Raw genomic sequence first — 17,548 nt, forward strand, 5'->3', positions numbered from 1 at the left:
ATCACAGCTCATTGTAGCCTCGACTTCCTGTGCTCAAGTAATCTTCCTACCTCAGCCTCCCAAGTAGCTAGGGCTACAGATGTACACCATCATGCCCGGCTAATTTTTTTAAGTAAAGGTGGTATTTTGCCCTGTTGCCCAAGTTGTTCTTGAACTCCTTGGCCTCCCAAAGTGCTGAGATTACAGGTATGAGCCACCTCACCCAGCTCTGTTTTTATATTTCTAACTCACTTCTCCTATCTCCAACACTCCTTTAAAGCAGCTTAATTTACAAGCTTGGCATTGAATCACAAGAGAGCCCTATACTTATGACTGAGATTTAAGTTCTGAAACCAACATCAGTCCAACTTACTTTATTTTACCTCCACAAGCTATCCACTGTCCATCCTTTCTTATAGTTCAATGATTTTTTTAAAATCAGAGTAATACACTGGGGAGATCTGTGGAACTTAATAAAGAACCACATATATGAACCCCTAAAAGTTAAAAATATATTTCTAAATATGGGGGGTGGGGGTAAATTTCTTGTCCAAATGTAAAATAATGGCAAATAAATCAACTCACATCTCTATTGTGTCCCTCATCAAGCCCCTTCCTCAGACAGCAAAATTTAATCCTACACCTGCTGAAGGAAACTTATCTCTGTTTCCTCTGCTCAAATAATATAAATCAAACGATCAGTTACCACACCCCGGTGCTTTTTCTGACCTGTGATTCTCTAAGGCTTCATTGTATATAAACTGTCCCCCACCCTGCGACTCCAAGATTTTGTGAATAGGCATTTTCCTAAATAGGGGGCTCTGTTTTATTTTAAAGTGACTAAAGGGAATCACAGAGGTGAGTATAGTATCTCTTCTTTGCTCTATCCCCATATTACTGTTTTAATGTCCTTTCCAACTTCAAAAATCAGCGTTAGATCACTTTGTATGGACATTTAAAGGTGCAAACATGCAGGTTTCAAAATGTGGAATGCTATCTACCATTTTAGGTCACAATATTGCCAGTGATTAGTAATACTTTCTGTAAAGATTTTCTGAAAAACTGTTATTTTGAATAAACTTATTATGTTATGCAGAACATTCTACATATTATATAACCTAATAGCAATTTACAAAGGATATGAGAACATTAAGTGGTGTCCAGATAACCAATTTATGATCCTTTACCAACCCAAAAGCACAGTCTGCTCTTTATATGTGTCTAAGAGAATTGAATTTATAGAAAATAATGTCAATATAACAGATTGATCTCAACTGTGAGAAAAATCCTTTTATACATTCAAATATATATGTTTTCTCCTAAATGATTTTTGTAATAAATGAAAAAAATAGACACATACCAATGAATTTTTTAAGCAAAAGTAAAGATTAAAAATCACAAGAAATTTGGCGAGGGGCAGTGGCTCATGCCTGTAATCCCAGCACTTTGGGAGGCCAAGGTAGGCAGATCACCTGAGGTCAGAGTTTGAGACCAGCCTGACCAACATGGAGAAACCCCATCTCTACTAAAAATACAAAATTAGCCAGGTGTGGTGGCACACGCCTGTAATCCCAGCTACTCGGGAGAATTGAGGCAGTAGAATCACTGGAACCCGGGAGGTGGAGGTTGTGGTGAGCCAAGATCATGCCATTGCACTCCAGCCTGGGCAACAAGAGAGAAACTATGTCTCAAAAAAAAAAAAAATTATTGGTTTCTTTAGGTTTGTGTAGCATAAAAGGAATGGAGGGGGAAATCCCCAATACTCATCAGTATAAAGTAGAATTTTAGGAACAGTCACTGTTACAGATTCCAAGTAAAAATTCCAAAACAAATTTTGTAACATTTTTTTCCAATGCTTACCATATGGCAAGTACTAATTCTAAAGACTTTAAATCATTTTCTCATTTAATCATCATAACAATCCTATGAGGTAGGATTCTATTTTCCAGATGAGAAAAACTGAGGCCTAGGAAGGTTTCGTAGTAGTAACTAAAGACAGTAAATAACTTTATTTATTTATTATTTATTTTGAGATGGAGGCTTGCTCTGTTGCCCAAGCTGGAGTGTAGTGGCACGATCTCAGCTCATTGCAACCTCCACCTCCCAGGTTCCAGGGATTCTCCTGCCTCAGCCACCCGAGTAGCTGGGATTACAGACACATACCACTATACCCGGTTAATTTTTGTATTTTCAGTAGAGACGGGGTTTCACCATGTTGGCCAGGCTAGTCTCAAACTCCTGACCTCAAGTGATCTGCCCACCTTGGCCTCCCAAAGTGCTGGGATTACAAGCGTGAGCCACCACACACATGGCCAGTAAATAACTTTAAATGGACACTAATAAAATGTTTAAATGTCTAATAAGAGACTGTTTATGTTCTGGTATACCAAAAAATGGTATAGTAAATAGGCATAAGTATATGTACTGGGTAGGACAAAGTCAAAGAAAAAGACATTATTATATGGAAGAAATAAATGGGAAAAGGTACAGAATAGTTTGCACAATATGCTACCATTTGTGTGAGAAGAAAATATGTACATATATATGTAAATGTATAGAATATCTGTGGGAGGAGACACAAGAACTGGTTTACTGTGGTTGCCTATAGGAAGAAAGAATAAGGAATGGCAAAAGGACAGACTTACTCTCACTATATCCTTTTAAAATCTTTGTATTATGTGTATGTGTTTATAATTCAAATAAGTAAGTTGTTAAAAAACAGACAATACATGAAGACAAACACTCTGGTATAACATTTCTGAATAAGAGCATACACAAGAAAAGGTTAACAGTGGTTACCTTTGAAGCTTGGGACCTTAACATGGATTCTTGGACCATCTCCACCTCTTTACTGCCAGGTATACGGATTGAATTCAGGAGATTTGTGAATTTGCCTAGTGTATTTGTTTCCTATGAATTTTGTAATAAACTACCACAGCTTGGTGACTGAAAAACAATAAAAATCTATTATCTCTCAATTCTGGAGGCCAGAAGCCCAAAATCACTACAAATTACCCAAAATCAATATACTGGCAGGGCCACAATCCCTCCAGATGCTCTACAGCAGGGGTCCCCAACGCCTGGGCCACAGATCGGTACCAATCTGTGGCCTGTTAGGAACTGAGCCGCACAGTAGGAGGTGAGCGGTGGTGGGCAAGCAAGCATTACGGCCTGAGCTCCACCCCACATTAGATTCTCATAGGAATGTGAACCCTATTGTGAACTGCACATGCAAGGGATCTCGGTTGCATGCTCCTTATGAGAATCTAATGCCTGATAATCTGAGGTGGAACAGTTTCAGCCTGGTATCATCCTCCCCACATATTCCCTGATGGAAAAATCTTCTTCCATGAAACCAGTTCCTGGTGCCAAAAAGCTTGGGGATCGCTGCTCTATAGAAGACACTGTTTCACAAGCCTTAAGGCCCTTTCTTCTATCTCCAAAGCCAACATCTCTGACTCTGCTTCCTTATGCTTCTATCATATAGTCTTCTCAAAGACCGTCAAATCTCCTCCTGTTTCCCTCATATAAGGACACTGGATATAAAGATACATGCAAGTGATTGCATTTAGAGCCCACAAAAACAATACAGGAAAATCTTCCCAACTCACCATCCCACCTATTCATATCTGTAGTCCCTTTTGCTATAAAAACTAACATTCACAGATTCTAGGGATTAAGATGTGGCTATGTGGGGGGATTTTCTTTAGCCTACCACAGATGGGGAAAAATTACATCTGTATTTTCACTAGAATCCATTTTTTTTAGGTATTAGCATTATCTGTGATTCTGTCATCATTAGAAATCAACATATTTTCACATAATATAGTTGTTGCACACATCCAAAATACTGTTTATACTTAACCTATACTTTAAAATTATTAAAGTTATTAGAACTGCTGCTAGATCTTATTAATATGTCCATAAGTATATTACCATATTGCAAAATATTTTAATATTAACTATTTTATTATTAATTTCCTTTCTAATTCTGTTTTAATCCATGAATTTAAAATAAAAAAAGAGCAAACATCATTTTGAGAAAGAATCCATAGGCTTCACTAGACTTCCAAGGGTCCTTGACACAAAAAAGTTTTAGAAGTATGGTACTGCTTTGGAGAAAGAACAAGTATGGGAGGAGGATGGGGTGAGATCAGAAGGTGAAACAGAAAGGTTTTTATCTTTATTTTAAACTTGTGTACTATTTGAATTTATCTATCTACTATTTATGTACATACAACTCTGCTTTTATTTGAAAGTCAATAAGAGTTATCTTCAGTTTCGTACTATTCCTTCCTTATTATGCTAGGCTGAATAACAGCCCCCCAAATATGCCCACATTCTAATTCCCCAGAACTAGTGAATGTTACCTCATACGGCAAAAAACTTTGTGATTGTGATTAAGGATCTTGAAATGGGGAGATTATCTTGCATTATTCTGATGAGCCCAATGTGGTCACAGTAATCATTTTATAAGGATGTAAGAGAAGTCAGAGTTAGAAGAAATGGCAATATCACCCTGGAAGCAGAGAATGATGTGATATGCTCTGAAGATGAAGGAAAGGGCCACAAGACAGAGAATATAAGCAGTAACTGGAAGCTGAAAAGGGCAAGAAAATGAATTCTCCCCTCAGAGCTTCCAGAAATAACCAGCCCTGCTGACACCTTGACCTCAGCCCAGAAAAACTGATTTTCACTTCTGACCTCCAGAACTATAAGAAAATAAATATGTGTTGCTTTAAACCACTAAGTTTGTGGTAATTTGTTATAGCAGCAATAGGAAACTAACACACTTATAATTTTAAAAAGTTAATAAATCCCAGCTTACAAGAAAACTCAGAGGATATAGGAACAAGTCAAATAACACCATGAAGATACAATCAGATAAAGCCAACAGGTGTACAGGACAACTTACCTACTTTCTTCAACACGTTCATTTATTAATAAAAAAGCAAACAAGAGACAATAGGAAGGTGGACGCAGTTTTACATTAAAAAAGACTTAAGAGAGAGAACAACTAAATGCAATGTGTACTCTTGCTTGTACTCTGCTTCAGAGAAACCACATGTAAAAGACCTTTACGGAACATCCGGGAAAATCTGAATATGAAATGAATATCACATATTAGAGAATTATTGCTAATTACGTTAAGTGTTATAAAGATATGACTGCAGAGACAAATATTAAAATTAAAAAATTAGATTTAAAATGTCTAATATACTGAAAATACTATAAGAAAATAGATGAAGCAAATGTGGAAAACTATAATAATTGTTAGATCTAGATGACAGGTATATGGGAGTTGATACACTATTGTTTCTACTTTTCTATATGCTTGATAATTTTCATAATAAAAAGTAAAAAAAAATAAATAAACCAAAATAAAACCTAATACGGTGAAATTCCTTTTATTTAACTCAGATAGAAAATGTCACTTCCGTAAAAAAGAAACTTATTACCACAGGAAACACTTTTTTAAAGTAAAATATGTAAATCTGAGCATTTTTTATTAACTTAAAATTAAAAACACATCTTTAATTCACCAATCTTTGGATATGGGGCCATGGCCTTACCTTTAATACAAATTCATGGAATAGAGTTCCATATCATTCTACTCACATAAACCATTGTTGACATTTCTAGTTTTGGCTTAGTTAAAATGAAAAAATCTGAATGTGGAAAAAAAAACCATTTATATTTATACAATGCCCCTCCAGATATTCTGTTTCCCTACAGCTAATTGAGTACAACTTTTCAGCAACCCGAGCTTTCCCAAACTCAAAACAATCTAATCAATTAATCTTTTCTTATTAATAGTTAACGTGTTTACATATTTAAATTACACAATTATAAATTGCCTTGGAAACACAGATGAGTAACTCTTGGTAAGCCAACAGTTTAAATGGTGGGAGAGGTACATGGGCATTATTAGAGAGAAGTTATTAACAACCAATTTAGGACACTGTGAACATTAGTGAATTTATTTTTCAAATGAAATGAACAATTAATAAAACAAATCAGTTAAGTGATTAAGAGAAACTTCAATTTTTTAAAAAGGTGATAGAGAAAGAGTAGAAAAAAGGAAAAATACCTGCTAATCATCTAACCCAGTGCTTGAGCAGCAGGATGAGGCAGTAAATTGACTGATGGAAAAATGACAATAGATACAGTTTAAAAGTTAGGTTTCTGTAATAGAAAGAATAACTTTTTTTTTTTTTTTTTTTTAACGCAGATGCAGCTACAAAAACAGATAACAATGCTTCCCAAGTCCCTCAAAGTTCCCCACAGGGAAACCGTTGCCAAGCATAACACCTGATTGAAATGAAGACCCCATCTGGGGCTTCTGACAAACTCATGCCCTGCCATTCTAAGGAAAAGTTCTATAGATTCTGGAAAGGTGCCTATCTGCTTCCTATTTAAAAGTAACTATACCAAGATTTGCTTCAAAGTAATCAGATTAGAAAAACTGGGAGGAGGTTGTTTAAAATAATATGGAAGGGACACAGTGAGTGATAAATATGCAAGGGTTCATCCTACTGCTGTCTTTTTTGTAGGTTAAAATTTCTCTACGTAGAGTTAAGCAAATAAGTAACTGGTACATAACAATCGATGCATTCCAGAGTGGTTATCTAAGTTGTCTGAATCACAGGTCAATTTCCTAAGTGGGTAATTCCCAAGACGCCTAGATCTCAGGGGTGTGTATATAGACACATACACACACACACACACACGTATAAATACACACATATATACGTGTGTGTGTGTGTGTGTGTGTGTATACATATATTTTTTTTTCTGAGAAGGAGTCTTGCTCTGTTGCCCAGGCTGGAGTAATGCAATGGCGCGATCTCGGCTCACTGCAACCTCTGCCTCCCCGGTTCAGGTGATCCCCCTGCCTCAGTCTCCCAAGTAGACGGGAATATAGGCATGCGCCATCACACCCAGCTAATTTTTCTATTTTTAGAAGAGATGGGGTTTCACCATGTTAGCTGGGGTGGTCTCAAACTCCTGACCTCAAGCGATCCACCCGCTTCGGCCCCCTAAAGAGCTGGGATTACAGGCGTGAGCCACCGCGCCCAGCCGCAGGTCTATATTTTTGATAAAAATATTTCCTTAGGTATGTACTGCAGATTTATGCTGCCCATCAATGCAGTTCTATAGAGCACAGTAAATTTTACTCAAATACTTTATTGCATTCAAGTTTATTAATAGTGGTTTAAGGAGGACTCTTTTATTCCCAACAAGTTCAGTTTTGCTGACACTTACTGAGAGAGGTTATCATTTGGCTGAACACCATTGACCCTCTGAAAGTTATTTATACATACATATTCAGGGAATATATGTCACCTAAATTGAAACAATTCAAATTCTTAGTATTCTAATGACATGAGCTAAACCTACTGGATGGCTCCAACTCATCAAAAAGGACATGGATGTTTTTCCCTTATTAAAAATAAAAGAGACCAGGCGCAGTGGCTCATGCCTGTAATCCTAACACTTTGGGAGGCAGAGGAGGGCAGACCACCTGAGTTCAGGAGTTAGAGACGAGCCTGGCCAGCATGGTGAAACCCTGTCTCTACTAAAATACAAAGATTAGCCAGGCACAGTGGTACTCGCCTGTAATCCCAGCTACTCAGGAGGCTGAGGCAGGATAATCACTTGAACGTGCTAGGCAGAGGCTGCAGTGAGCCAAGATCGTGCCACTGCACTCCAGCCTTGGTGACACGGCAAAACTCTGTCTTTAAAAAAAAAAAAAAAAAGATGGTGAGTAGCTGTGTTATAATAGCTCAGCAGAAAAAGTAATGCAGTCCAGGCATGGTTGCTCACGCCTATAATCCCAGCACTTTGGGAAGCCGAGGTGGGTGGGTCACCTGAGGTCAGGAGTTCGAGACCAGCCTGGCCAACATGGTGAAACCCCATCTCTACTACAAGACAAAAACTAGCTGGGCAGGGCGGCGGGTGCCAACTACTTAGGAGGCTGAGGCAGAAGAATCACTTGAACTTGGGAGGCGGAGGTTGCAGTGAGCCAAGATCATGCCACTGCACTCCAGCCTGGGCGACAGAGCCAGACTTCATCTCAAAATAAATAAATAAATAAATAAATAAATAAAATAAAAAATCTAATGCAGCTGCTAATCTCTGGCTTTCAATTGGGCTTTGTAAGTGGATGGGCTATGTAACTCTATACACTCATGAAAATTTATTAAACTAACAAACAGCAAGAGTTCTACCACATATCACTGCTAGGGTTCAGCAATATAAAGAGTGGTTATACAGGTAACTCTAGTTACTGCTCTCAATAAGACAACTGATTGAGCCAAAGGAATAGCCAGTATTTTTCAAGAATAAATATCTTACTGCAAAAGCAGTCATTAAACCTCCTACATTTATGCACTGTGTTCTTTCATTCTATCTTCTCTAAATGCCTACCCTGAGCATAAATAGCAGTCTGCAGGAAACTCCTGTTTTGAAGGGTGGAATAAGTTGCAGACTACATAAGAAACCTAACTGTTAAACAATGTACTAAAATCTAGTATAACTAGTAACCAGTACACTTTCAGTAGTAACTAATAACTACATGACACCAACTTGCTTTTTAACCAATTTATATTTTAAGAATACATATGTATTCTATTGCAAACAAAAGCACTCATATTTCAGATTTATAAAACAGGCAACTTAAATGGAGATTTTAAATAGACAGATAGATATACATATAATATATATATATATATATATTTAGACAGAGTGTCAATCTGTTGCCCAGGCTGGAGTGCAGTGGCACAATCAAAGCTCACTGTAGCCTCAATGTCCTGGGCTCAGGCAATCCTCCCCTCTCAGCCTCCCAAAGTGCTCAGATTACAGGCATAAGCCACCATCCCCTAAAATAATTCTTATCAAAGATTTACTCATATTACAAACAATTCCCTAAAGAATATACTAGATATTTAAATATTCTCATGGAAATAAAATGGTTCCATTTATACATATTGCCTAAATGTAAGGCCTATTTAGGAATATCTTTTTTAAGTTAATAATTTGAAATTAAAATTTGGTAACTAATTTAGAACACACCCATCCTCTACTAAGAAGCAGTAGTGGCTAGAAACAACAGCTCCAAAACACTCATATAGAAGCTACTTTGATTGGGTGCAGTGGCTCATGCCTATAATCCTAGCACTTTGGGTGGCTGAGGCAGAAGGATCTCTTGAGCCAAGGAGTTTGAGACAAGCCTGGGCAACACATGGTCTCTACAAAAAATTTAAAAATTAGCTGGTTGTCATGGCTCATGCCTGTGGTCCCAACTCCTCAGGAGGCTGAGGTGGGAGGATCACTTATCACTTCAGCAGTGACCCGTGATTGAGCCAATGCACTCCAGCCAGGGTGACAAGTGAGCAGCTGCCTCAAAAAGAAAAAGTACCTACTTTGTGTTTTAACTTATTTTGAGAACTTGAGATTTTTAAAATTTCTTTATCTTCTACAACCATGATACTATCTCAACACTGTTTATTATCTGTAGGAAAATGCAGCACCATTTTCACTGGTATCTCCCTCAAAATCACTCAATAAAAGCACATTCATTTAAAATTCATAAAGATATTTAGAGAAAGCAATTTTAAAACTGCTAAGATTTCCCTACAGTATACTTTTATTCCTTATATATGAAATCTCAATCCTGATTATTTTATTGTGCTATTCAAGACTTAAATTTCATTATAAGCACATTCTTTGGAACATAATCATCTAACATTACAGGCCAAACTAATACCTGTTCTCATTTTCAGTGCTATTTTAACTGGAATAAAGCTTTTTTCCCAGCCCATCTCCGATCAAAGACAACACTCTAATTCCAAGACTTCATATTACCTACTTACTTAAAATTGTTGCGTTGTTAAGCGGTTTTATCTTAATCTGTAACTTTTACAAATGTTGTCACAATTCCTAATAGTTTTAAAACACTATAAAACTATACATGCTAAAGTTTTTAGACAACCCGAAATAAAATATAAATTTGCTCATTTTCTTTTCCCTAAGGTGACAATACCATTCCTCGCCTTTTTTCACTCTTTAAAAAATTTTACAGATACCTGCACCGGGTACGGTGGCTCACGCCTGTAATCCCAGAACTTTGGGAGGCCGAGGCGGGCAGATCACGAGGTCAGGAGACTGAGACCATCCTGGCTAACATGGTGAAACCCCATCTCTACTAAAAATACAAAAAATTAGCCGGATGTGGTGGCAGGCACCTGTGGTCCCAGCTGCTCGGGAGGCTGAGGCAGGAGAATGGCGTGAACCCGGGAGGTGGAACTTGCAGTGAGCCTAGATCACACCACTGCACTCAAGCCTGGGCAACAAAGTGAGACTCTGTCTCAAAAAAAAAAAAAAAAAAAAAAAAAAATTTTTTTTACAGATACCTACTGGTTGTACTTATTTATGGAGTATATGTGATATTTCAAATACAAGCATACAATGAATAATGATGAAATCTGCATAACTGGAATATCCATCATCTCAAACTCAACATTTCTTTGTGCTAGGAACATTCTAAATCTTCTCTTCTACCTATTTTGAAATAAACAATAAATTATTGTTAACTACAGTACCCCTATTGTGCTACTGAACACTAGAACTTATTCCTTCTTATCTAACTATACTTTTGTATCTACTGAACTAACTTTCTTTACCCAAACGCTCCCTGTACCCACCCCAACCTCTGGTAACCACCTTTCTATTAATTACCTCCATGAAATCAATTTTCTCACTTAAAAAATGAAGGTATTTAGAAATGATGGATGTTGTATCTTCACAGTTCCTAATCTTCATCCCCATTAAAATTTTTGTCACTCTCATTAATTTCAAGTTTCAAACTGGCACACTAACAAAAATTTCTTATGACTACTGCTTTCTTGTTACTATTGGTAGTAAAAAGGAGCTATCTTAAGGTATGGTAAGAGTAGGGAAATAATCTTTAAAACAGCAACAGAAAGAGAAATCTGGAAAAAAACAATACATTTGTAAGCTGAGCTTAGAGGAGAAATAGAATTTGAATATATAAAGCTGGCAATATAAGAAGATAAACTGCAAAGATAAATTTATAATCTTTAAAGCTTGTTCATAAACACTTGTGCATAATTCTGTATCTTAAAATATTTAATGTAAGAAAACTAACATACACAGGGTATGTTAAATACCATACACACACACGTATATGTACACCTCATACTGAAAGATGTCACTTTACAGCTTCTTAGACAATTTTACTGATGTTATGTCTCTTTCTAATTAAAACTATAATAAAAGACATTTTGGGAGGCCAAGGCAGGTGGATCACTCGAGGTCAGGGGTTCAAGACCAGCCTAGGCAACATGGTGAAACCCCAACTCTACTAAAAAATACAAAAATTAGCCAGGCGTGGTGGCATGCACCTGTAATCCCAGATACTTGGAAGGCTAAGGTGGGAGAATTGCTTGAATCTGGGAGGTGGAGGCTGCAATGAGCTGAGATCACACCACTGCACTCCAGACTGGGCAACAGAGTGAGACCCTGTCTCAAAATTGGGCAACAGAGTGAGACCCTGTCTCAAAAAACAAAAACAAAAAGCACTATAATAAAAGAGCATAGGTCGCCTACTAAAAGAAAACATCAAATTTTTTCATGTATTTTAATAACACAGATTGCTTTAATCTAGACATATTTGAAATTATTTTTCTTCTTTAAAAAAGCTGTATGTCTCAGTTGATAAGAAGCTGACAAACTGATATAATTGTTTCTAAAGCCAGCCTTTGTCCTTTATGTATTTTCCCCTTCAATCAGAGTCTCATTTTATAAACATTTTGTATATTAAACATTCAGGCAAATGAAGTACTAGGTAGTGCACTGAAATACAATGTCATATAAAGAACGGCAGCAGTCAGCTCTAATTTTTTGCATGCCCAGGAAAGTTGCTTGATCTGATTTTTTTTCAAGCAACTAAGAAATCCAGATTGTGGTGTGATCTCCTTTGGAATGTTGGAAACAATTTCAAAAATTTTAAAACATCGCTTAGGTCATAGAAAATAACCCTATTGCTCTAGGCAACCAATCTATAACTTTGGCTTATTGTCCAGGTTTTAATCAAGCACATTTTATTAGTTTTCTATTGCCACTCTAATATATTATCACAAGTTTAGTGGCTTAAAAGAACATATATTTATCCTCATACAGTTCTGAAGGTTGTTAAGTCCAAAATAAGTCTTAAGAACTAGAATGAAGTTGTAGGTAATACTGCATTTCTTGCAGAGGATCCAGGGAAAAATCTACTTCCATCCTGTCTTTTCCAGCTTCTAAAAGGTAGCCTATATTCCCTGGCTTGTGGATCCTTCCTCCATCTTCCAAGCACATCATTTTAATCTCTGCTTCCAGCATCTCTTGACTTCGACTGTCTTATCTCCCTCTTATAAGGATCCTCATGATTATACTGGTCTCACCTTGATAATCCAGAAGTCTTCCCATCTCAAGATCCTTAACTTAATCAATCACATCAGCAAAGTCTCTTTTGTCTTTTGAAAGTACATATTCACAGATTCTGGGAATTAAAATCTGGATATGTCTTGGGTGAGGGGGAGGTCATTATTCTATCATATATGCATTCTAGAAGGTTTTTTTTTTTTTTTTTTTGAGATTCCTTAAAACTTTCTATATAAATGGTCATGCTTCTGTATTGGTAAGTGCCCTGTACAGGTGTATCATTTATTGTACCTTTTCTATGTTTAGATAATATTTGGATACATAAATACTTACCACTGTACCACAATTGTCTACAGTATTCACTACAATAACATGCTGTACAGGTTTGGAGCCTAGGAATAAGAGGCTATATCATATGGCCTAGGTATGTAGCAGGCTATAGTTTAAGCATCCCTAATCTGATCCGAAATCCAAAATGCTCCAAAATATGAAATTTTTTGAGCACCAACATAATGCCACAAGTGGGAAATTCCACACCTGACCTCTTGTGGCAGGTGCATAGAAGTTTAATACTTTAATTTTATACAATTGGCTGGGTGCAGTGGCTCATGTCTGTAATCCTAGCACTTTGGGAGTCCAAGGTGGGAAGATCACTTGAGGCTGGGAGTTCAAGACCAGCCTGGACAACATAGTGAGACCCTGTCTCTACAAAAAATTTAAAAGTAAGCCAGGGATGGTAACACAGGCCTATAGTCCCAGCTGCTTGGGAAGCTGAGGCGGATCACTTGAGCCCAGGAGTTTGAGGCTACAGTGAGCTATGTACCTGCACTCCGGCATGGGCAAAAGAGCGAGACCTGCCTCTAAAAAAATTTGTTTAATAAATAAATATTGTATAAAATTACCTTCGGACTACATGTATCAAGATGTATATGAAACATAAATGAATTTAATGTTTAGACTTGGGTCCATCCCCAAGATATCAGTATGTATATGCAAATATTCCAAAATCTGAAAAAAAAATCTGAAATCCAAAACATTTCTGGCCCCAAGCATTTCCAATAAAGGATACTGAACCTGTAACATCTAGGTTTGTATAAGTGTACTCTATGACGTTTGCACAACAAATCACCTAACTATACATCTCTCAGTGCAATTCCTCATTATTAAGTGTCACATGACTGTATTTTCCTCAGATGAGTACATGCGTATATCATCTCTACATTCCTGCCTATCTGCATCCTTCTTTCACCCAACAAATGAATGGTATCTTGACCAAGTATAGGAGCAAGGGTTCAATTTCAGTTGTATGAACATGTTACTCCATTATCTTATTACAGTTTCTGGTGTTGTGGATGAAAAATCTGATCCTTTTCCTTCTTTGATGTGTTCTGTTGACTGGAAGGCTGCTAAATTTTTCACTTAATAAAAAAAAATCTGCTTCCATGTTATTTTTTCCCTGCAATCCTGCCTAGAACTCAGTGAGCACTTTCAATTTGAAGACTTAAATTTGTTTTTCAGGTCAGAAAAATTTTCCTGTATTTATTACATATATTTCCTATATTTGTTATATTTTCCTATATTTATTACACAGGAAAAATTTCCTATATTATTAAATTATTATTTAATAATTTCTTAATGTTTTAGTATTTTACCTCTCCTTTCTATGTTTCATTTTCTCTTTCTAGGATTCCTACTTATTATACATGAGGATGATAAAGCCTTCTAACTTACTCGACTATTTTCTCTTATGATTTCCATCTTTCATATTTTTGCTTTGTGAATCCATTCTTTCAGGGATCTAATTTGGGACTTAATGGTAACAATCCCCTATTCTGATTAACTTACAGAATTTAGTTTAAAAAATCATATTTTCCAGCCCAAGAATAATTCTTCATGCTGCACTTGATTTTTTATAAGAGCTCATTTTATTCCCTGCAATTGTTCATTCCTCTAACAGCTTAATTTAGCTTGGCATGTGCTTTGTTTCTTTCAAGTAATCTTCTCTCTAGATATCAAGATCCTTTAAAGATGTTATATATGTATTCATGCATGTGTTTATGTATATGGTCATTATGGTCAATTCCTTGGCGCTCAGGTTTAGTAGCTACTCCAAAACTGGCAGAAAGCAAAGCAGTCTCTCCCTCCACAGATCCACAATGAAGAAGTAAACCACTATACTTTGAGATATCTACTCCCCAGTTTTTTCAGGTTCTCCCAGACTCAGAGACAGGAAACAGCTGGCCCATTCAATTCTATCTTCAACTTATAAAATGAAAGAAACCAGGCATATTCACACAAGATACATGTTAACTTTCCCCTTCCCATTCTCCATCTTCCTCCACTTCCACACAGTTCTCAGACCTCAGTAAACCAAGTTCCACCACTTTGGCCAGGCATGGTGGCTTAAGCCTCTAGTCCCAGCAGTTTGGGAAGCCAAGGTGGGAGGATCGCTTGAGCATGGGAGACAGAGGCTTCAGTGAGCCAAGACTGCACACCGTACTCCAGCTTGGGGGACAGAGTGAGACAGTGTCTAAAAAAAAAAAAATCCAACGCTTTCCTCTAGGATCTTCAATGCAAATCAATAAGTACCTATCCAGCCCAAAGTAAACACTTTGTAGTTATTATCTTTGCCAAGATTCCCAAGAAGCCAAAATCTTACCTGCAACCAACATCCATCTTACTTTGGAGAAACAGATACACTACATGCTTATTAGTCAAAGAAAAAAGGAGCAACATTCAAGTTTCCTTCTTCCCTGAATCTCTTCCTCTGACTTTGGAGAAATGTACACTGATTCTTTGAGATTTGTATACATGGAAGTTTTCCACAGGTATCTTTCCATGACATTACTTGAAAATCACTGCATTTAAGAATAGCTCCTCAAAGTGATTTGAAGTTAAGGATATCTCCTAATTTCATCCAAGATAATTTCTATTTCTGTTTATTTTTGTTGTTGCTTTGTAGTAAATTCTAAGAAGGGCAAAACTGCTGTTTATGATGTCATTTTTTTCCAGAACATTTTAACAGATTTATTTATAATTATAAAGTTGAACCACTGAAACTTGTTCACTGAAATATTCTGACTTGCATTAATGCTTTACGTCCCTGAATTTACGTTAAAAATTCACACATGAATAAAAATGGAAAAACTGGAAATAATTGATTTCTATCCCCTATTTTTTCACTAACAATCATATACTTAGGTACTGTGATGGTTATTAAGTGTCAACTTGATTGGATTGAAGGATGCAAAGTATTGTTCCTGGGTATGTCTGTGAGGGTGTTGCCAAAGGAGATTAACATTTGAGTCAGTGGACTGGGAGAGGCAGACCCATCCTCAATCGGTGGGCACCATCTAATCAGCTGCCAGCACAGCTAGAATAAAGCAGGCAGGAAAAGATGTAAGAGTAGACTTGCTGAGTCTTCCAGGCTTCATCTTTCTCCCATGCTGGATGCCCTTGAACATCAGACTCCAGGTTCTTCAGTTTTTAGACTCTTGGACTTATGCCAGTGTTTGCCAGGGGCTCTCGGCCTTTGGCCCCAGACTGAGGACTGCACTGTCGGCTTCCCTACTTCTGAGGTTTTGGGACTTGGACTGATCCACCATTGGCTTCCGTGCTTCTCAACCTGCAGACAGCCTATTGTGGGACTTTACCTTGTGATCGTGTGACTCAATTCTCCTTAATAAACTCCCTTTCACATATACATATATCCTATTAGTTCTGTCCCTCTAGAGAACCCCGACTAATACAGGTATCTTTTGACTCTATGGCAAAAAAATAAGCTCAAAACTACCAATAATAGGAAAAAAATCCGGGGGGGGGGGGTCTCTTTTAGAGAATGTAATGTTTCCCATCACAGTGGTTTCTTAAAAGGATGTTCTCCACACTCACGGGGTGTCTTTTGGCATAATTGTTATACATTTGGCATGGACAGCACACAGGCTGGTGTCTTCAAAAAGGACAACCAGATAGGCCTCACTTGCCTCCCGCAAAGCACCAATAGCTGCGCTCTGGACGCACTGGTCTGATTTGAAGTCCTGAGCAATTTCTCAAGCCAGACCGTGGAAGGGAAGTGTGTGATTCAGAAGTTCAGTGGACTTCCAGAAACAACTGATTTCATGGAGTGCCACAGTACCAGGCCTGTAACAATGAGGTTTCTTCACCACTCCAGGAGAGGGTGCACTCTTGTAAGCAGCCTTTGTAGTCAGTTGCTTCCTGGATGCTTTACCACCAGTTAATGTGCAAGCAGTCTGCTTTGTAGGAGCCACCATATAGCAACCTCCTTACTTAGTCCCCTTTTCCTTCACCTAGAGTTCAGTGAGCTAGAGATGGCACCAGCCTTGGAGAGTCACAGTGGGTCAGCAGTACAGCAGAAGTTGTGAAAACCTGTCATCTTTCTTTCTTTATTTATTTTTTGAGATGGAGTTTTGCTCTGTCACCCAGGAGTGCAGTTGTGGGATTTTGGCTCACTGCAACCTCCATTTCCTGGGTTCAAGTGACTCTCCTGCCTCAGCCTCCCAAGTAGCTGGGATTACAGGCACACATCACCATGCCTGGCTAATTTTTGTATTTTTAGTGGAGACCGGGTTTCATCATGTTGGCCACGCTGGTCTCAAACTCCTGACCTCAAGTGATCCAACCACCTTAGTCTTCCAAAGTGCTGTGATTACAGGCATAAGCAAGTGTGCCAAGCCCTCTCTTTCTTTCATCTTTAAACCTTAAATCCTATTCCATAACTTTAGAAAAAACATTAACTAAAAATCAAAATTGAGTCACCCATGCTTTGGGATGCTGAGGTGGGAGGACAGTTTGAGGCCACAAATTCAACATCAACCTGGGTAACACAGCAAGACCCCATCTAATTTAATTTTTTGTAGAGACAGGGTCTCACTATGTTGCCCAGGCTGGTCTCAAACTCCCAGCCTCAGGTGATCCTCTCAACCTGTACTCACAAAGTGCTGGTATTACAGGTGTGAACCACCATGCACAGTCGTTGTTGTAATCGTTATAAAAAGTTAAATAGCTACTATAATTGGCTATCCATTTGATATACTTTTGCTGTGTCCCCACCCAAGTTTCAACTTGAATTGTAGTTCCCATAATTCCCACATATTGTAGGAGC

At 37.7% G+C, this 17,548-nt stretch overlaps 1 protein-coding gene and 1 pseudogene across 3 annotated transcripts in view; both read right to left on the bottom strand.

Annotated features, from left to right (window-relative positions):
* Nucleotides 1-17,548, bottom strand: part of CAAP1 (caspase activity and apoptosis inhibitor 1) — a 52,118-nt gene that overhangs the window by 23,171 nt on the left and 11,399 nt on the right. Inside the window, exon 5 of one of the 3 annotated variants that reach the window (XM_047423896.1) lies at nt 6,071-6,122. The exons of the other annotated variants lie outside the window; for them this stretch is intronic. Coding sequence (XP_047279852.1) covers nt 6,074-6,122 — 49 coding nt within the window. The 3' untranslated portion in view covers nt 6,071-6,073. The remainder of the gene's footprint in view (nt 1-6,070; nt 6,123-17,548) is intronic. 3 annotated transcript variants of the gene reach the window in all.
* H3P31 (H3 histone pseudogene 31) lies at nt 16,323-16,694 on the bottom strand (annotated as a pseudogene).

This window comes from Homo sapiens, chromosome 9 (assembly GCF_000001405.40).
Source record: "Homo sapiens chromosome 9, GRCh38.p14 Primary Assembly".
Lineage (NCBI taxonomy): Eukaryota > Metazoa > Chordata > Mammalia > Primates > Hominidae > Homo > Homo sapiens.